Source organism: Homo sapiens, chromosome 5 (genome assembly GCF_000001405.40).
Source record: "Homo sapiens chromosome 5, GRCh38.p14 Primary Assembly".
Lineage (NCBI taxonomy): Eukaryota > Metazoa > Chordata > Mammalia > Primates > Hominidae > Homo > Homo sapiens.
In genome coordinates this window covers 55506955-55528226 of record NC_000005.10, presented here as the reverse complement: position 1 = coordinate 55528226, position 21272 = coordinate 55506955, and the positions used below count along the sequence as shown (strand labels likewise).

Genomic DNA, 21272 nt, shown 5'->3' with positions numbered 1-21272 from the left:
TTTTTTTTTCTTTTCCAACTTGATATAGGGCAGTAGGAACCCAAGTAAGTACCAATGTTTATGACTTATTTGCGGGCAGTCCCACAATATCTAGAAGATTTAGCTGGAACTGACAAAACTTTGATTCCTTATACCTGTGTTTTGCTGTTTTTGACAATCATTTAGAATATCTTTCTGTGCTGTGTGTGTTCCATTTGCCCTTCCAGATCTTTTCTCCACTCTGCTCTGTGCTTCTGGGAAATGAATTACATGGGGTACATCAACTGAGCCCTTCCTTTTTGGTTTCAGATTAGCTTTGCCCAGTGGGAGGGACATCAGAAAGGATCTCCCTAAAAGCTAGTTCCCTCTTGCTGGATTTAGTGTTGCCAAAGCTGTTCTGTGAGTAGTTCACAACTTGTATTCAATAATGGCCCTCTCTGCCAGCCATCTATAGTTACACATCTTTCTGGGTTCTAATAACCCTTCCCTAGCCCCTTTAGACCTGGAGATGATAATGGCTTCCTGACGTTGCTAACCTGGAGTTATACCACCATCTTTTGCTGTTTTCCCTAAACCCTGCCTGTACCTTTTGAAATGGTTCCTTCATTAAGTTTTCTTGAATACTTCATTTGAGTATGCTGCTTTTCTTGGCAGGACCCTACTGATAATACCCATCTATGTCTAAAACAGATTTGAGGTAGCTTCCGTTTCTGCATTAAACACCAATTACAGTGTCCTTAATGGCAAATGCAAACAGGAGCCCATGGGCTGCCATCTTGGCTTTCTTGGGAGGGAGGGGGTTATGGTTCCCTCAGCATGCTCCAAATGTGGTATCATCATTATGCCAAATCAAAGTCAATGGGTATAGAGTAAAATCTGGCTGCAAAAACATTTGCAACCAATGCTAGATGGTTGTGGGGTCCCTGTTGCTTGTTTTAACCCAGTAATTATCTCAAATACTGATGCCATTTCTTATTACCATAATGCTGACATCATTTTACCCCTTAAGGATACTCCTAAGGAGCGGTCCCTTTGTTAAGCCTCAATCTGGGTCCCTTCCTCAAAGGGGGAAAAAACAAGTATTTTGGGAAGATTCTCACTTGCTAAATAGTTTCCAGCATTTTGTGCCTTCCCTTTTCTCGTAACATTTATTTGTTCATTCACTCATATTCAGTACACATTTGTTAACTGTATCATAGGTGCTGGGCAGTGTGTTAGACACTGAAGATAAAAATAAGTAAACAAATAGGACACGGTGCCTATCCTGACCACTTGCTGTTTCTTCTATTTAACTTTTTTTTTTTTTTTTTTTTTTTGAGATGGAATCTCGCTCTGTCGCCCAGGCTGGAGTACAGTGGCCCGATCTTGGCTCACTGCAAGCTCCGCCTCCCAGGTTCACGCCATTCTCCTGCCTCAGCCTCCCAAGTAGCTGGGACTACATATGTGCGCCACCACGCCCAGCTAATTTTTTGTATTTTTAGTAGAGACAGGGTTTCACCGTGTTAGCCAGGATGGTCTCGATCTCCTGACCTCGTGATCCGCCCACCTCGGCCTCCCAAAGTGCTGGGATTACAGGCGTGAGCCACCGTGCCTGGCCTCTTCTATTTAACTTCTATTAGGAAACTTATTTTGCTTCTGATGAAAGTTTACTTGTTTTTCTGTTTGTTGTCGTTGTTGTTGTTTTTCTCTATTCTAGTCACAGAGAGAGGGAAGGAATCTCAAAAAACGAACAAAAATTTGTCAAACTGGCATATTCTTGGGTCAGTCTAGAATCCTATTGCAAGGCTTTTTCTTTCTTTAAATGGGTAGTTTGGAACAAAAGCAGAGGCTTGGAGGAAATTGCTGCTATTTGGCTCTAGTTGGTTTTATTCAGCTGAGTTTTAGCTTAAATTTACCTTACTTGGAATAAAATATAGAAATGTTCAGAAAACGTTCCCCTTATAGATTTTATGAAATGTAAATTCTTCCTTTATATTCTCTTTGAATTACATCCTTTGGAAACTCAAGAATGTGCTATGGATCTTTGTTAATCTCTTTCTCATTTAGTCATTTTTGGCTGAGCTCTACCAAACTTTCCAATGTGTTACTCAGTTTGGGGAATTATTCTGATTCTTTTGGTTAAGAAATTTAAGGTTAAAATTGTCAATGTTTGCCTATTTTTTTTTTTAAAAAAAGAAGTTGGCAGCAAAAGTCACTAAACTCCCAGATTTTGAGTGAACTGATTAACATGTAATTTCAGTTTTTATGGAAAGAAATTTGGAATGTTGTCTACTTCCTCCTAATTTAGGTGCCTTAATTCAACATTTGAAATGGAAACATACAGTCTGTACAATCAGCTAATTAAGGATTATAGAGATACTGTCTTGTCTCTTCTTTTCAAAAAAAAAAGCATTTGCCATCCAGAGATTATGAATAGTGGTTACAGGTAGCATTCTCATCTTTCTATCCTTCTTTCTCCTTTTACCTTCTTTTTCATTGTCATTCCTTCCTCCCCACTGTACTTCCCTTCCTTCTGCTCATCTTCCCTTCAGTCTTCTTGCTGTTTAGGTTTAATGTGCAAATGGTTTAGGTAGGTTGCCTTTTTACTCAACTGAAACTAGTCTAAAATTGGGGGCCAGGCATGGTGGCTCATGCCTGTAATCCCAGCACTTTGGGGGACTGAGGTGGGAGGATCTCTTGAGCCCCAGAGTTCAAGACCAGCCTGGGCAACATCGTGAGACCCCATTTCTATTTTTTTAAACAAACAAAAATTATAAAATTGGGAATGACTTGTTCCTTATAAGCTATGAAAAACTAGTCTATGTATTTTCTTTAAAATGTTAGGCAGCATAGTCTAGTGATGGACTGTGGATTCAAATTTTAGCTCCTCCATTGAACTCTGTGACCTTGGGAAAGTTTTCTCTTTGTGCCTGTATTCTTTAGCTATATAATGAAAGTACCTATGGTTATCTTAAATGAGACTTAAGTGAATCAATATGTAAAGTGCCTTGCACTTAATATGCATGATGTATGTTTGTCAAGTAAAATAATTCTCTAATCCTACTACCTGTAACATAATAATTATATTAGTAGAAATAACATCAACTAGTTTTGTATTAGGGACAAAAACACAAACTTTAAAATGTTTCTCATGAGTACTCATGGAATGCTTTTGAAACTTAGTGTTTTATTAGTCATGTGTGAAAGCCACATACATGATTTCTAAGTAGTGGTAATTCCAGCCATGGTGAAAATTGATCTGTGTAGGTCTGTGGTGGAGAGTAATTAAACGAATGGAAAAACTGTTATTTTATACAGTGATAAGTCCTGAATTTCAGCTTACTCCAGAAAGTGGAGTTAGCTACACTCTAGTCACCTTTTTATTGCTGAGGTCTTGGGAATGATTACTCCACTTATAAAAAAGTAGAGTTAATATTCCTAAAACTTTTTTTTGGGGGGGGACGTAGTTTCACTCTTGTCGCCCAGGCTGGAATGCAACGGCATGATCTTGGCTCACTGCAACCTCTGCCTTCTAGGTACAAGCGATTCTCCTGCCTCAACCTCCTGAGTAGCTGGGATTACAGGTGCCCACCACCACGTCGGGCTAATTTTTGTATTTTTAGTAGAGATGGGGTTTCACCATGTTGGCCAGGCTAGTCTGAAACTCCTGACCTCAGGTGATCCACCCGTCTTGGCTCCCAAAGTGCTGGGATTACAGGTGTGAGCCACTGCACCTGGCCCAATATTCCCAAAACTTTTGAATGACCTTAATTATACATCCTCATTTGTATAAATTCTGTTATTTGAATTGCTCTTGGCGATTAAACAGGCAGCAAGGAAAAACCGTTGTGTAATACTTCTCTATATCCTCCCTCTCCCTAAACCAAGCTTGTCCGACCCATGGCCCACAGGCTGCATGCAACCCAGGATGGCTTTGAATATGGTCCAACACAAATTTGTAAACTTTCTTAAAACATTATAAGATTTTTTTGCAATTTTTTTTTAAGCTCATTGGCTATTGTTAGTGTTAGTGTGTTTTATGTGTGCCCCAAGACAATTCTTCTAGTGTACTCCAGGGAAGCCAAAAGATTGGACACTGCTGCATCTAAACTCTTTTTCAAACATTGTGACATATGTTAAACTCAAATTGTTTTTAAAATTGTGTGAGCACAATGTTGTTTTAAAGTATTTGACATTGCATCATTTTTTATTTATTTATTAAGCAGACATTATTTGCTGTAATACAATGCTAGGAGCTGCAAATACCAGTGCAAAAAAGATCAGCTCTCCATACCAGTGTATATAAGACAATTACAGATGTTTGTAAAAGCTATGACAGAATTAAAGCAAGATTATAAGAAAGTTAGACTTTTGGGGATAGCAGTCTCAATGAAGGCTCTCTAAAGGGGGAATATTTGAATTGAGAGGTATTGGACTTGAGATTTAAGGAACAAAATGAGTTGGCCGTGGAGGAGCTGGGGGAAAATTCCAAGCATAGGGAGGAGCAGGTGTTGAGGGCAAAAGAAGAAAAGGGCATTTTGTCACAGAAAAGAGGCCAGTGTGGCTGGAATATGGTATGTATCAATGGTATTTTTAATAGTGAATTTTGTAACTTTTATTTCTAAATGCCAGAATGGATAAAAATAATAATTGACATTTATTTAGTGCTCTCTAGGCTTGGTACAGCCAGTGCAGTCTCTCGACAACTCTCTTAGGAGCTTGGTCATCTGCATTCTGTAGATGACGGAAGTGAGGGCTGGGAAAGTTGGGAAACTCACCCAAGGCAACCTGGCTAACAATGGTATAGTCAGGAATTGGGAAGTGCATTTTTGAGGATTATAACTTTTGAATGCAGATTAACTAGTGTGTATTTGGGAAAGGTTGTAATAAATGGAGAGGGTGAAGTGGGGATGGTTGATGAGTACAAAAAATAGGTAGAATGAATAAGATCTAGTATTTGATAGTACAGCAGTGATTATAGTCAATAATAATTTAATTGTACATTTAAAAATAACGAAAACAGTATAATTGGATTGTTCGTAACACAAAGAATAAATGGTTGAGGTGACAGATACCCCATTTACCCTGATGTAATGATTATAAATTATATACCTCTATCAAGATATCCCATGTGCCCCATATGTATGTATATTTACTATGTACCCACAAAAATTAAAAGTAAAAAAAATATGGAGAGGGTGAGAAAGGCAAGAATGTGGGAATTCATTGTCTATAAAAACAATCATTATTGGGCCTGGCGTGGTGGGTCATGCCTATAATCCCAGCACTTTGGGAGGCCAACGTGGGTGGATCACGAGGTCAGGAGATCAAGACCATCCTGGTTAACACGCTGAAACCCCGTCTGTACTAAAAATACAAAAAATTAGCTGGGCGTGGTGGCGGGCGCCTGTAGTCCCAGCTACTCAGGAGGCTGAGGCAGGAGAATGGCGTGAACCCAGGAGGTGGAGCTTGCAGTGAGCCGAGATTGCGCCACTCCAAACTGGATGACAGAGTGAGGCTCCGTCTCAAAAACAAAACAAAACAAAACAAAACAAAACAAAACAAAACAAAACAAAATGATTATTTTAGATGGCTTAAATATTTTGTAACTATTTTAGTTTTATGTTTAACTAGTTATGATGTAGTTTCAGAGTCAGTTTCTGCTTACCATTTTGAGTATATCTGCTGTCTAAAAGAGGCACTTTAAAGTTGGGAGCAGTGGCTTATACCTGTAATCCCAGCACATTGGGAGGCTGAGGCAGGAGGATTGCTTGAGGTCAGAAGTTGCAGGTTGCAGTGAGCTGTGATTGTGCCACTGCACTTCCAGCCTGGGCAACAGAGCGAGACTCTGTATCTATAAAAACAAACAAAAAGAAGAGGCACTTTAATATTTCATATCTCAGACTCCCAATAACTATTAAGCATTAGCAATGAGGTTATATCATACTGGAGGATGTAACTAATTTCCCCTATTCAGTAACATGCTCACAGACTTTTTCTTCAAATAGCGTTGTTATAGGCATTCCTTTCAGGTTTTCACAGGAAAGGAAGATCTTTGTCTCTCCCTGTGTTTTAGATGAATCGTGTATGGAGTTCAGAGTGACCTTTGGTAATGCATTCTAGCAGATATAGTTAGAATCTCGTGATTTAGTCCTCAGTTGTCACTGCTTGGAAATGTTTCCTGAGTCTTTTTCAGGGTGGGGTGTCCAGGAAAATGACATATAGGAAACGTGTAGCAGATGAGCCCTTCAGTTAATTGGCAGCTTGTCACGGCAGATTCTGCCTTGCCTTTTGGTTCATTTGCATCAGTAGTAGGAGAGATGGGTTTGCTGCTTGGTGCTGGAGAGGTAAATGAGTAGAGAAGAAAGCTATTATCTATTGAATGCCTAGTATATGCGTTTGGTAAATGTTTCACATGAACTCATGTAATCATCACAAAACTCTGAGGTACATAGTATTAGCCTCATTTTATGCCCTACCTACCACTGGAGATACCAAAAATAGGTATGCATTTTTCGATCAAGGGAAAAATATAACCCATGGATTTTTACTAGCTTATTACTTATGGTAGAAGACAGACTCATAGGAAAAATGATAAAACTGTATAATGTTATTGAGTGCCTGTTAGCACTGAGATTACTAAGAATGAGTGAGACAAGGTCTCCATCCTCAAAAGGTACACAGAGCTTTGGAAGGTGAGATAGGCAGGTATTTTAATCAAGTTTTTTGTTTTTTGTTTTTTGTTTTTTTTTGAGACAGAGTCTCGCTCTGTTGCCCAGGCTGAGTGCAGTAGCATGATCACAGCTCACTGCAGCCTTGACCTCCCAGACTCAAGTGATTTTCCCACCTCAGCCTCCACGAGTGGCAAGGACTGCAGGTGTGCACCACCATGCCTGGCCAATTTTTTTTTTTTTTTTGAGACAGAGTCTTGCTCTGTCACCCAGGCTGGTGTGCAGTGGCGCAATCTCGGCTCACTGCAGCTCTGCCACCTGGATTCCAGCGATCTTCCTGCCTCAGCCTCCCGAGTAGCTGGGATTACAGGTATGTGCCACCACGCCTGGCTAATTTTTGTATTTTTAGTAGAGACAGAGTTTCACCATGTTGGCCAGACTGGTCTCGAACTCCTGACCTCAAGTGATTTGCCCACCTCAGCCTCCCAGAATGCTGAGATTACAGGCATGAGCCACCGCCCCCAGCTCCGGCTAATTTTTGATTTTTCGGTAGAGATGAGGTCTCACTCTGTTGCCCAGGTTGGTCTGGAACTCCTGGACTCAAGTGATCCTACTGCGTCAGCCTCCTAAAGTGCTGGGATTACAGGTGTGAGCCATTGTACTGGGCCAGAAGTCTGTCTTTATTTCAGAACAATTTCCCCTGAAACCATTGCTGTTGCTGTACAGCAGAGATAATGTAAACTTTTGGGCACATTACTTTTGGCTACTGCTGAATTCTGAAATAATTCCTGTAGATAGTTCAGAAGGATATGAGTCTATCCACATTAATAGGTGAAAACACTCTAATATTGGTGCTTAGGAAGTGTATCGCCATTCAAATACTTGTTATATGAATGACTGGGCAATAAACTTGAGTCAGCCATTCTTCCAGGGTTTAAAGTCTAGCTCCATCTATTACTATTGTGTGACATTGGGCAGGTCACCTCAACTCTTTGAGTTCGTCATCTAATGAGGAAAGAGATGATGCTAATAGTGCCTTTCTCATAGTGCTGTGAAATTAGATGAGATAATGCATGAGACAATGTATGTGAAGTGGTTAACATAGTCCTGGCCTGCAGTAGGCACTCAAATATTTTTGCTGTTTTTGTTATTATTAAGCTAATAAGCCAATTTGGTACCACTGACACAGTCTGCTATTTAAATGTGATTTCATGTGTTGGTGACTTTTTGTTTGTTTGTTTAATTTGTCCTAGCTGCAGTTTAAACAGCATTGAAGTCAGAACCTGGTTTGTATTTCAGTTCCTGGTGCCCAGATCATGATGGGAAATGTTTTGATTACTTCTAACCTATTTCTTTCTGGAATCAGATACCTCAGATCTTTTGATTGTACTTCTAGGTGAACAGTATTCCCACAGCTCATAGACAAGGTACCTAAATGAAGTTCTTGGTTGGAGAGAGAACAGCAAACTAGAAATATGAATAAATAAAGATGTGTGTGAGGTGAGAATGGCATGGTTTGGATAGTAATAACTTCTCTTAGTCCTCAGCTCCTAAAACATGAAGATTTTATTTCTTGAATATAAACTTGTCAAGAGCTAACTTAAAGTACAGGTTGAATGAGTTAAACATTGCCACTTCTCATCATAACTTCTTTTGATGAATAATTTATTCTTTATTTTTTCTGTAGAGTTTAAGAAATAGATGTATGTAATGATTACAGTCATTTATAGTATTCTGAGGTTGTCCTAATTTTAGGTAACTGTCTTCAGAAAGGTAACTTGTTAAATAGATGACTAAATGTAATTAAAATTCATACTTTTATACTTTTTTCTTTTTCTTTTTTTTTTTTTGAGACAGAATTTTGCTTTTGTCCAGGCTGGAGTGCAATGGCGCGATCTTGGCTCACTGCAACCGCCAGCTCCCTGGTTCAAGTGATTCTCTTGCCTCGGCCTCCTGAGTAGCTGGGATTACAGGTGCTCACCACCATGCCCAGCTAATTTTTTGGATTTTTAGTAGGGATGGGGTTTCACCATGTGGGCCAGGGTGGTCTTGAACTCCTGACCTCAGGTGATCCACCCACCTTGGCCTCCCAAAGTGCTGGGATTACAGGTGTGAGCCACCATGCCTGGCCACTTTTTTCTTAAAATTTTTAAAAAACACACTTTTGAGAGAATATTTGATCTAGAAAGTATCACTAGCATAGTTATGCAGTGTAGCAGAGGCAAGTGACATTTTTTGTATTTTACTATTTTTCAAAGGGCATGGATAAGAGAAAGGAGTTTTAAATGTGCTCCTTTTCAACTGTTGTCTCTGCCTAGCCCAGTAGCCACTTGGAGAAAAGGTTTCTTAAATTGTGATGTTATCAAAACTTGTTAGGCAGGTTATGGATAATGTTCAACTTTATGGCTAGTGTGGATATCTATATTAAAATTTACTTTATGTCCCACAGTATGAATGCAGTTCTCAGTGTTGCCATTGAATATAATTATTAACCAAATCTGAAAACCAGTAATTACCCTCTGAAGTTTTTTTATGGATTTCCCCCCTTTCCTCAGGATTTGACATTGTAAATGATTTTTTAGTGAGTGGCAATTAGTTTGAACCCTTTATTTAAAGAGTTCAAAGTGTAATCTAGTAGTAAAAACAGTTGGTTTGGAAGTCAGATTCTGGTCTTGCCTCTGCTATTCTCTGTGATCTCATGGACAAGATCCCATGGCTGCTTCATTTACTGATTGTAAATTATAATGAGAATGATGTATTCCTTGTTTATCTCTCAGGATCATAGTGGTAAATGAACCTCAGTTATTAAGGAGAGTCATCTTGCAGCAGTTGACACCAATGGATTCAGGTAGTAAGACAAGGAGCACATGGTATATAAGGGGCTATTTTGAGCAACTGCAGTGGACTTGTGGGAGATCAATTATAAACTTAGCCTGGCTAAGAATGGGGTGAGTGTTACTGTCAGCATAAAATAGGAAAAAGTTGAAGACTGAAGTATTTAGAAAGTAGTAATATAGGAAAATGATCCCTGACACAAAGTAGTGTAGGCCTCCTGCCTGGCTTTGGTTACATATGTTTCTTCTGGTAAAAGAGGAGGCAAAGATGAGAGTAGGAAAAGGAAAATTAAAAAATGAAAAAAGGCCGGGCGCGGTCTCTCATGCCTGTAACCCCAGCACTTTGGGAGGCTGAGGCCCCAGCTGGGTGTCAATTTTTTTTTTCTTATCAACATTATAATGAAATGAGGTTTTTTCAAGGACCTGCTGTATGAGACTAACCCAGAGTAATTTTTCAAATTACCTGATTTAATGAATCAGAATTTCTAAGAAATAGCTGGATAATCTACATACTTAAGCATCTCAGGTGATTCTTCTCATTAGGGAGATTTGGGAAATTTCTAGATGAGTGCTTCTCTAGAGTTAATGTGCATAGGAATCACCTGGGATCTTGTTTATAATGCAGTCTTAGGGCTGGGTGCGGTGGCCCATGACTGTAATCCCAGCACTCTGGGAGGCCGAGGCAGGCGGATCACGAGATCAGTAGTCTGACCAACATGGTGAAACCCTATCTCTACTAAAACTACAAAATTAGCTGGGTGTGGTGGCTCACGCCTATAATCCCAGCTGCTCAGGAGGCTGAGGCAGGAGAATGACTTGTACTGGGAGGCAGAGGTTGCGGTGAGCTGAGATTGCGCCACTGCACTCCAGCCTGGGCAGCTAGAGTGAAACAATGTCTCAACAACAAAAAAGAAAAAAGTAGATATTGCTGGTAGCTCTGTTTTTGCCTTTCAGGAGCACTTCTGAAGAGAATGAGGCTTTTTTGAGAGGAAGGAGGATTAATCATGAGGACATGCTTTGGAAGGCCAGAGTTTGCTGTCCCGTAAAGAGATTGTGGTAGAGATTTTATTTTCAGTTGGATTAAGTCTAGAATCACATTGATAGTGATTTACATTGCCTGAAGTAGGGAATTTGCTCTTTAGGTTGGTCAATTAATTAGGTCCGTATTCTAGATTTGCTAGAAAAAGGAGCAACTCACTTGAAGAGCTTTGTGGTGGTTGCTCTTATTTCATATCCTCACATGTTTCATGATTAAGGATGAAAATTGGGCCTGGTGTTGTAGCTCACACCTGTATTCCCAGCACTTTGGGAGGCAGGGGTGGGCAGGTCGCTTGAGCCCAGGAGTTCAAGACCAGCCTGGGCAACATGGCAAAACCTTGTTTCTACCCAAAAAAACAAAACAAAACAAAATTAACTGGGCTTGGTGGTGCAGGCCTGTAGTCCCCAGCTAACTTGGGGGTTGAGGTGGATCACCTGAGCCTGGGAAGGTCAAGGCTGCAATGAGCTGTGATTGCACCACTATACTCTAGCCTGGGCGACAGAGTGAGATAGGGTCTTGAAAAAAGTAAAAAAAGAAATATTTGATTTGAAAGATAGCATAATTTGGTTGAATATTTTGTAAATTAAAGTTGTAGTAAAAGCAGAGGAGTTTGAAATTTTGGACTGTCAAATAGAATTGTAGCAGAAGTGTTATAGTTGCTATGAGGCTAGCCATAGACATATTTTAGTGAATTATCTGACTTATAGTGAATTATAGGAGACTTTAGTGAATTATATGAGATAAAGACATATTAATACTTTCTGCAATAAAGAATGTAAATGGATACTATTTGAATGGGCTACCATTATGTTTATGTAAGCTATAATTACCCAAAATAACAGGGAAACAGTGTTGTACCTTTTAAAAGAGCTTAGAATGCTAGGATGATTCTTACCTTGCAATTTCAACTGCAGATTTTGTATTTTATTAAGACACGAAACAAATTTCCATTCATTTTTACTAATATGTAGATATTTTGCAGAATTCTTTTGTGTTCATGGGATACATAAAGTTTGAGTATGGACATTGGAAGCATACAGGTCTGAGTTTGAATCTCAGTTCTGTCACCTGTTGCTTGGGTAACTCACCTGAGTTCACAGCTTTAGTTTATCTGAAAAGGACTGTGTCTTAATCTGTATGTTCTCCTTGGCATGTGGCCCAGTCACCGTTACATAGTGGGCATTTGTTTATTCCACAAATGTCTGTTGCTCATATACTGTGTGCCAAGCACTGTCTTAGGTAATAGAGATACAAGTAATCATACAAATAAATATGAAAAATGAACCAATAAGTATTGTGAAGGAGAAGTATGGGTGCTATGATAGTTTATAATAAGGGGTCTAAAAAAAAGGAGGATGAGGTAGCTTTTAAAAATGATTACTTTGGCTGCAGGGTAGAATGATAGATTAGAGCTAAGAAATAATGGATTTAGGGAGATCAGTTAGGAAGCTGCTGTAACAGTCCAAGTGAGGCAGGCAGTGAGACTAAAGAGGTGGTGGTGATGGTGGTAGAAATGGAGAAAAGTAGATACATTTCAGAGGTATTTGGGAAGTAAAGGATACCTGTCTTGGTGACATGTTGAAGGTGTAGGGTAGGAGAGAGAGAAATGTCAAGAATAGTTCTGAAGCTTCTGGCTTGTATAATTGAACAGATGTTGGTTCCTGCCAGTTACTGAGGTGGAGTGTGCTAGATGAGAACCTGGTTTGATAGGAAGGGGGATGGGGAGGAGATCGTTTGGTTTGGGGCATGTAAGTTTAAGATGTTTTTGAAATATTTAAGTGGAAGTACCAAGTTCTTGTTTGGATAATGGTTCTAGAGCTCAGAGGAATGGTCAGACTTTTGAGAATCGTTGGCATATTCGTGGTAATTGAAGCCATGAGAATTGATGAAATTTCAGGAAGAAGTTATAAAATGAAAAGGAAGAAGACTTTATACTGAGCTTTGAGAAACACTGACTTTTCAGATTGGTTGGAGGGAATTAAGACCACCAAGACTGAGAAGCAATTCCTTAAAAGCTAGGAGAGTGTTTCTGGGAAGCCAAGTGGAGAGAGTGGTAACGATCTACTTTGTTCTGAAGGGTCAAACAAGATAAAGACTGGAGAGTGTCCATTGGGTTTAGTTACACAAAGATCATTTATAACCTTATGTAAAGCCATTTCAGTGGTGAGTTGGAAGCTGAAAGAGATGGATATTGCTGGGTATAGATTATTCTTTGAAAAAGTTGGATTGAGGAAGAAGGGAGAATGTGGTAGCTTAAGGGAGAAGACACTCAAATATTGGCTGAGTGAATACATGTGCAACATGAACCTCCTTTAGAAAATAACAAGCACAGGCTAGCAGGATCATCTCTGAGGAGGATAGGAGGAGGACCTGTTAGGGATATCAGCTGAAACATGAATAGTCTGGGATCATAGTTTTTTGTGTTTCCTATGATGTGCCAGATGAAGGAAGAAGAATCTTGCCAGAAGGAGAAATGTCATTTTTAGAACAATGGTATAGGAATCGTTGACCACCCTTACAGAACCCTCATTGCTGAGAATTTGATATATTGTTTTCTAACTATCACCAAGTATAGCGGAAAGAGTCTGGGATTGGAGCCTGGTAATACTGCTTTGCTATTTTCTTGTGTTAGGTCGCACAGTTGATTATTTAGTCCTAAAGAGCTTCAATTTCTTCATTTGTATAATGGAGCGAATACTGTCTACGTCACGGATTTGTTAGGATTAAATGACAATCTGTGTATATAAAGTAGCAGGTATTTAGTAGGCACTCAATAAGCTGATGTCTACCTGTTTTCTTGCTTCTCATGGTAACAGTTGTTTATTGTGTAGTTTCAGCATTATAAGTTTGCTCTTAGCCTCAAAGGAATCATTTGTGGGAATCCTTCCTTCTTCATCTTATCTTTTGTGTAAAATAACTTGAGTGATACAAGCATACATTTCTGGGGAAATGGAAATATTATTTGCTACTGCAATAATAACCAATAAATAAGTATTTTGCCAGTCGTTTTTGGCATGTATGCCTTATATTTGTGTGCCTTTAAAAAAAAAGCGTGTGTGTTTTAAACAAAGCTTACTAATTTAGATATGCCAATTTGGTAACTTCCTGCCAGAGTAAGAGTTTTTATGTTTTCCTTCTGAGACACACCTTAGTATAACTTTATTTTAGTTTCTGGGCCATTGCCATTTGGCATAACTTCAAACTAGATGTGATGGACCCACATAAATACTTTTAAGATTTAAAATTTTTTTTATGGTGGGGGGATATGAACTTTCAAAACCAGCTGAGGTGTCAGGTCTGGATTTTATTTGGTTGTTTAATTTTTTTTTTTTTTTGAGACCAGGTCTTCCTCACTCTGTTGTTCAGGGTGGAGTGCAGTGGTGTGATCACAGCTAACTGCAGCCTTGACCTCCAGGGCTCAATTTGATCCTCCCACCTCAGCCTCCTGAGTAGCTGGGATTACAGGTGCATGCCACCACAGCTGACTAATTTTTATACTTGTTTCTTTTGTAGAGATGGGGTTTTGTTATGTTGTCTAGGCAGGTCTTGCACTCCTGGGCTCAAGCAATCTGCCTGCCTTGGCCTACCAAAGTGCTGGGATTATAGGCATGAGCCATGTGCCTGGCCATTTAAAATTTTTTGTTTGTATTTTTGATTTTCGAATTTTTTTTCTACACATATTTTGAACACTGAGATAACTAATTGTATACCAAAATGACTGAAATGAAGTCAGTCTGATTTCCGTAAGTTTGATTGCTAAAGCAGTCTCCTTAAAGGTGTTAAAATGTGCTCTCAATCCCCACCCTACACAACATCTGTCTCCCAGGCTGAAGTGCAGTGGCACAAACATGGCTCACTGTAGCCTTGACCTCCTATGTTTAAGCATTCCTCACACTTCAGCCTCCTGAGTAGCTGGAACCACAGATGTGCACTGCCATGCTTGGCTAATTTTTAAAATTTTTGTCGAGTCCTGGTCTCACTGTGTTGTCCAGGCTGGGCTCAGGAGATCCTCTCACCTCTGCCTCCCAAAGTGCTAGGATTACAGGCATTAGCCACCACTCCTAGCCTATGTATGAACCTTTACGGAAGTTGATTACCCTAGAATTTTTATAAGAGCATTAGAATTTGCCAGCTTTCTTCAAGAGTTAATATAGGCCGGGCGCAGTGGCTCATGCCTGTAATCCCAGCACTTTGGGAGGCCAAGGCGGGCGGATCACCTGGGGTTAGGAGTTCGAGACCAGCCTGGACAACATGGTGAAACCCTGTCTCTACTAAAAAAAGAAAAAAAATACAAAAATTAGCCAGGTGTGGTGGTACCTGCCTGTAGTCCCAGATACCCTGGAAGCTGAGGCAGGAGAATCGCTTGAACCCTGGAGGCAGAGGTTGCAGTTAGCTGAGATCATGCCACTGTACCTCCAGCATGGGTGACAAAGCAAGACTCTGTCTTAAAAAAAAAGGAGTCATTATAGTAGTAATACTATAGTAAACACATACTTGATATTCTTTGGAATATGGGCCTTACTATGAAATAGGAGAAATTATTTCTTTCCCAGTTACTAATAAGGGAGACTTCATTGGTTAAGGGAATTTTGTGGGTAGAATTGCTAAGACTAGAAATCTCATTGTTGGTTCAAAGAGAGAAATAAGTTAACCACGTGTTCTCACCTGAATATAGGATGCTTTGCTTTACAAGCTTAAATAATACCCGGACAAAACTCTACAGGTCACAAGTTCTTTAAAGACTTAATAAACTCTGTAGAAACTATACTTCAAAGGGGAACCTTCTCCTTGATTCACTATCCTGCCTTGTCTTCTGAAATTTATTGGTTTTTGACAAGCGTTTGAAGAAAGACCACTAAAATACAGTGTTGTTAATATTTGGTGAAATGTTCTTGTACATACATCTGTTATAGATTTTCCAAGTTAAAAATTACTTTTCCATTAGAGGAGCTCCCCATACCTTGTTTCTTTCCCCAAAGGGGTGTGTGTGTGTGTGTGTGTAGTTTATAATGTATTTTACTCTTTTGACTTTGGAAATACATAGTATTTCATTGTATAGGTTTGGCACAATCTACTTTTTAACTCTAATTTTTAGACATTTGAACCTTGGATGATATGGAATACTGTCATTAGTAAGTTTTATGTTACCTTTCTTTCTTTCTTTCTTTCTTTCTTTCTTTCTTTCTTTCTTTCTTTCTTTCTTTCTTTCTTTTCTTTTCTTTTCTTTTCTTTCTTTCTTTCTTTTTTTTTTTTTTTGAGACAGTCTTGCTCTGTTGCCCAGGCTGGAGTGCAGTGGTGTAATCTCAGCTCACTACAACCTCCACTTCCCGGGTTCAAGTGATTTCCCTGCCTCAGCCTCCCAAATAGCTGGGATTACAGGCACCTGCCACCACGCCTGGCTAATTTTTGTATTTTTAGTAGAGACGGGATTTCACCATGTTGGTCAGGCTGGTCTTGAACTCCTGACCCCAGGTGATCCACCCACCTCAGCCTCCCAAATTGCTGGGATTATAGGCTTGAGCTGCATCGCCTGACCAGCTTGCTTTCTTAAAAAATATTCTGATTCCTGAAGTTTCTTTTTTTCCTTTTTATTTTTTCGAGGAGTTTTGCTCTTGTTGCCTAGGCTGGAGTGCAATGGCGCTATCTTGGCTCACTGCAACCTTCGCCTCCCAGATTCAAACGATTCTCCTGCCTCAACCTCCTGAGTAGCTTGGATTACAGGCTGCCACCTGCCACCACGCCCAGCTAATTTTTGTATTTTTAGTAGAGTGGCTCAGCCTGTAATCCCAGCACTTTGGGAGGCCGAGGTGGACGGATCACGAGGTCAGGAGATTGAGACCATCCTGGCTAACACGGTGAAACCCCGTCTCTACTAAAAATAAAAAAAAAAAAAATTAGCTGGGCGTGGTAGCCGGCGCCTGCAGTCCCAGCTACTCTGGAGGCTGAGGCAGGAGAATGGCGTCAACCCTGGAGGCGGAGCTTGCAGTGAGCAGAGATCGCGCCACTGCACTCCAGCCTGGGCGACACAGCTAGACTCCATCTCAAAAAAAAAAAAAAAAAAAAAAAAAAAAAAACTCAACACGTGTTAAATCGCTAAAGTCTGAAGAGCCCAGAAAAGAAAATAAATATCATTAGTAATATTCTCACCATCATCCAAAGATTACCCCTTTTAACATTTTGGTTGCTTATCTTTCCAGTGCTTTTTAATGTCCATATACCCACATTTTTTTAAACCCATGCTTTAAAAGAAAAAAAAACTTGTGATATTACTGCATGTATACATATATTTTGTAATTTTCAATATAATTGTCTGAAATTTTAATGGTTATATGGTATTTCACTGTATGTATTTGGTAGAAGTCACTTTGCCCCCATTTTTGGATATTTAGGTTATTTGCAATTGTGCTATTATGCTGTGTACAACGTCCTTGTGGAAACTTTGGCAAACCTTGGGTTGTCCATCTCAAACTCTCTCATTGTACTCTGTCCTTTTCAGCCTGCTTCTCTCTCTTTTCCAGTAACTCCTTTAACAACAAGATCAGATCAGGTGGACAGATTATTCTTCAAACAATTTACTATTAGGCAATGAATATGCTGGTTTCTGTGAATTCTGGGATTAAAGAGATACATAGACACATTTTATTTGCAGAGATAAAGAATTACAATAATAAACTAAGTGTTGTGATAGGTTTATATATGTATAAGGTCCATGGGGGCTCGGAAAGAGAGCAGGGGTTGTGAGGGCAGTAGGCAGGGAAGAAAGATCAGGGAGTAAGCATTTATTAATCCTCTTAATGTGCCAGGCACTAAGTTAGGCACATTACTAGGCTCTTAGTTTGCAGCAGTTCTGGGAGGTATGTACACAGTATTATTCTTACTTACCAGATGAGGAAACTGAGCTCAGACAGGTAAGTAATTTGCCCAAGCTCCCACAAGTAGTAACTGGGAGAAAGCCAGAAGTAAACCCAGCCAGATATACTTGACTACCCAACTCTGTCCAGTACTCCACCCTGGCACACCAAAGGATTGGTTCCACCAGTAGCTGAATGGAAGCTAGAATGGCAAGTAGGCATTAGCTAGGTGGAGGGGGTGGGGTCATTGTGTAGAGCATGTCAAGAGGTTTGAAATAGGTATGAGGAGTAGGTGAGATGAGGCTTAAGCTAAAATTTAATTGTTGTGTTTTAAAAATGTATAGTAAGATTGACTCATTTAGTGTACAGTTCTGTGAATTCAGATAATATGGAATTTAGTCCTGTAACCAGATACAATCAAGATACTGAATTGGTGTGTTACCTCCCTGAGTGCCCTCATTCTTCTTCTTTGTAGTCAGCTCCTCCCACCAGCCTTGACTTTTGGCAAACAGTGATGTGTTCTCTATCCTATATGTCATATAAATGGAATGTCATATAATGTCATATAAATGGAATCATAAAGGCTATATAGTATGTAGCCATTTGAGTCTAGTCTCTTTCACATAGCATAATGCGTTTTTGATTATGCCAAGTACTGTGATGTAAATGTTACTGTACAGTTTTGCTGTAGGTTTTTGTCCCTTTCTAAATGTGCTTATATCACTTCTAACCCTAGTTCCATGTAAACAGAATGTTTTTTGGCAAAGAAGTTATTAAGTTATAGCTTCAAATACCATGGAAGCCCTAAATAGTTTCCCGATAAGTGGCCAGGAGAAAGTACAATTGAAAAAAATCAGCTGTCTCTCCCAGTACCCTTTACCTCAGTTATCTCCTTGCTTTTGACATATAAAAATCACGTGGCCGGTTTACTACTGATTGTGACCTTTGCCATCTTAAAAGGGAAGAGAAAGAAAGCGAACAGCTGTACCATGAGGGAGTGGAAGGAATTAATGTTGTTCTTGGCCAGTTGGCACTGTTTTCTTGTGCCTTTCTGGGAAGGGAACAACAGGTGAGAAGGTTTGCTTTTTGTTTTTGTTAGTGTATAAATAAATAGGTTAACTTGTTTTTTATTTGTGTGGAAATGTGAGAGTCCATAGTGAAGTAACTTGCCCTAATAGCTCGTGATTTTTTAAAAGCTCATTAAATATATACACAAATTTATTTTAAGTGTCTTAATGAACTAAGCTACTCCAAGGTTGAGGATATTGTAGGCAATTACTGACGTAAAACTACAAATGTAAAAACCATCTTTGGTAAGTGTCACTTATATCCTATATCCCAACTGCTTTTTCTCCCTTTTATCCTAATTTTAAAATAAAAAAGAAAAGATAACGAAGAACTTTTTATAATAAAACCATGTCAGCCACAGAGAGATGGTGACTGTAAGCTAAGTGACCAGAATGTAGGTGCCTCTAAAAGTTGAGGGTGCACTGTTCTTTGAATTCTTGCCTGTTAACACTTTTCATAACATCTCTGTGAATCACACTCAAATATACTGTACAGTGCTATCACTGATACCTCTCACCTGCCACCAGGCTCTGCCCCTTCCCTACCAATACCTTGCACAAATTCATTGTCCTGAAGCACAGCTTTCTTGCTCAAGAACCAGTGTTGATTTTTCATTTCTTATTGAAACATACACAAATTGTTTACCTGAAATTGAAAACCTTCATGCTGTAGTTTTGCTTTGCCCATTCACATTTATTTCTCTTTGTTACTCATTCCCCTCTACGTTACTTTAGTGAAATCATCCTGTTTTTTAGTTGTCTAACAGCAGATTGAGTTCAGTTACCAATTTTTAAATTCAGTTCTAATTCCATTTCACATTGTAGTTGTTTTGACTAGTTTTTTTCTACTCTATTAAAAGCTCTAGTTGTTCTCTGCTCTCCTCACTTATCTGACTCTGAAATCTTCTAAATGGTACCCACTTTATTTAGAACGTTTTAGGGTCAAATAAGTACAGGTTGGAATCCTGAGTGCACCACTTAACTATTGAGGCTGACAGCCAGTGTACACCTGGGTCTTCACTTCCCCTGCCCCATGACTCTTCATTGTCTTAGTCCCTTCTATGGACCTCCCTATGATACCTCAGCTAAAAGTTTGAAGCAGAACCCAGCTCCTCTAGCACCAGCTAGTGTCTGTTCTGAGTGGCCGATGCTGGTACAAGTATGAGTTATTAAATATTTTTAATTTCACCCTGTTTATTATATGTATGATTTTAATTAAGTTACTTGTCCTTTCTGAGCCACTCCCAGATCTTTAAAATGGGGATAATAATACCTGTTTTGCAGGATGACTGTTCATTCATCAAATATTTGTTGAAGGCCTGCCTTGTTCTAGGCAATGACTTAAGTACTTGGGATATATTGGTGAACAAAACAGAAATGTCTGTGCCTTCTTGGATCATGTGTTTTAGAATTATGAGAATTAAATGAAAATAAATATTCAATATGGTGCCAGACACATAGAGGTGCCCACAGTGTCTTATCTCACTTTCTTCCTGCTTGCCATATCTTTTCCATCAGGGCCAAAGAGAATGGGAAGTGGGAAGAAATAAACTTCATATTTCATTTGTATAGCTGTGGAGAGTAGCAGGCCCTGGGTCCCTTTGGGGAGGTCATGCGAACTGGGCATGGCCTTCTGTCAAGAATTATTAGACCAGGCATGGTGGCTCATGCCTGTAATCCTAGCACTTTGGGAGGCTGAGGCAGGAGGATTGCTTGAGGCCAGGAGTTTGAGACCAGCATAGCCAACATGGTGAAACCCTGTCTCTAATAAAAATATAAAAATTAGCCAGGCATGGTGGCACATGCCTGAAATCTCAGGTCTCCAGGAGGCTGAGGCATGAGAATTGCTTGAACCTGGGAGGTGGAGGTTGCAGTGAGTTGAGATTGTGCCATTGCACTCCCACCTGGGCAACAGAGTGAGACTCTTGTCTCAAAAAAAAAAAAAAAAGTTTTCAGTGATCAGTGTGCAGATATAGGTGGACTAAAAAAATCATCAGTGACCTTTTATCTGTACTTTGTTCTTTTACTACTCAATGAGACTGAGAGCCTGCTGGATTCACTAAGACCAGGTGAACCCAGAGGGCTCTCGGTCTCATTGACTCAATTGGGTTTGAATCTCAATTCTGCAACCTACGTGGCTTTGGGCAGGTTTCCTCATTTTCAAAATTATACAATAATATTTACCTTTTAAACTTATTGAAGGATTGGAAAGCTGTAACACCTAGCATGCTGTCGTGGCATAAGGTGGGGGTTAAGTAAAAAGTAGCTACTATTAACATTTTTGAAAAGTGCTCCTTCATTTTCCCTGCTCCCTTTCATACTCTTCATCCTACTTTCCTGGTAGTTCATTTCTTCTTAGTTGGCTGTTGACTTTCTCTTTTCTTTCCAAGATTATGGCTCATGCCACTTTTTCCGAGCAATCTTAAAGTCTCATGGCTTCAGCTATTTCCTTTATAACTGATAATTCCAGATATTCATCTTCAGTCTGTATTCTTTTCTGAGTGCCAGATATGAATGTCTAGGTGTGTGCTAGACATGAAACATGTGCCAAATGATCAGGAATGATAATCAGGATGGAGTCTGTATACTTGACCTACAGAGGAAACAAGCTGTCTTATCTGGCAAACTTTTTAGTTTTGCTTATTAAGTTGGTAAAATTTTGAATGACTTTCTTTACTCTTGGACATCTAATGATCTTTTGTAAAGAAGGGGAAGAGAACCCTTTCTGTTCAGAAATAACACACAACTTGATTAGTAGGAGAATTTTTCATGTGATTCTGGAAAGAATTTGCAACACCTGTTTCCAAAGAAAGCAAGAAATATATTGCATATTTTTCTCCCCAAAATGTATT

At 39.5% G+C, this 21272-nt stretch overlaps 1 protein-coding gene and 1 non-coding gene across 5 annotated transcripts in view; both read left to right on the top strand.

Moving 5' to 3' along the window:
• PLPP1 (phospholipid phosphatase 1) overlaps positions 1-21272 on the top strand; it is a 110111-nt gene that overhangs the window by 6738 nt on the left and 82101 nt on the right. The gene's annotated exons all lie outside the window — the stretch shown is intronic.
• On the top strand, positions 19301-19377 carry MIR5687 (microRNA 5687). The gene has a single exon (NR_049869.1). It is a non-coding gene; the product is annotated as a microRNA 5687 (primary transcript).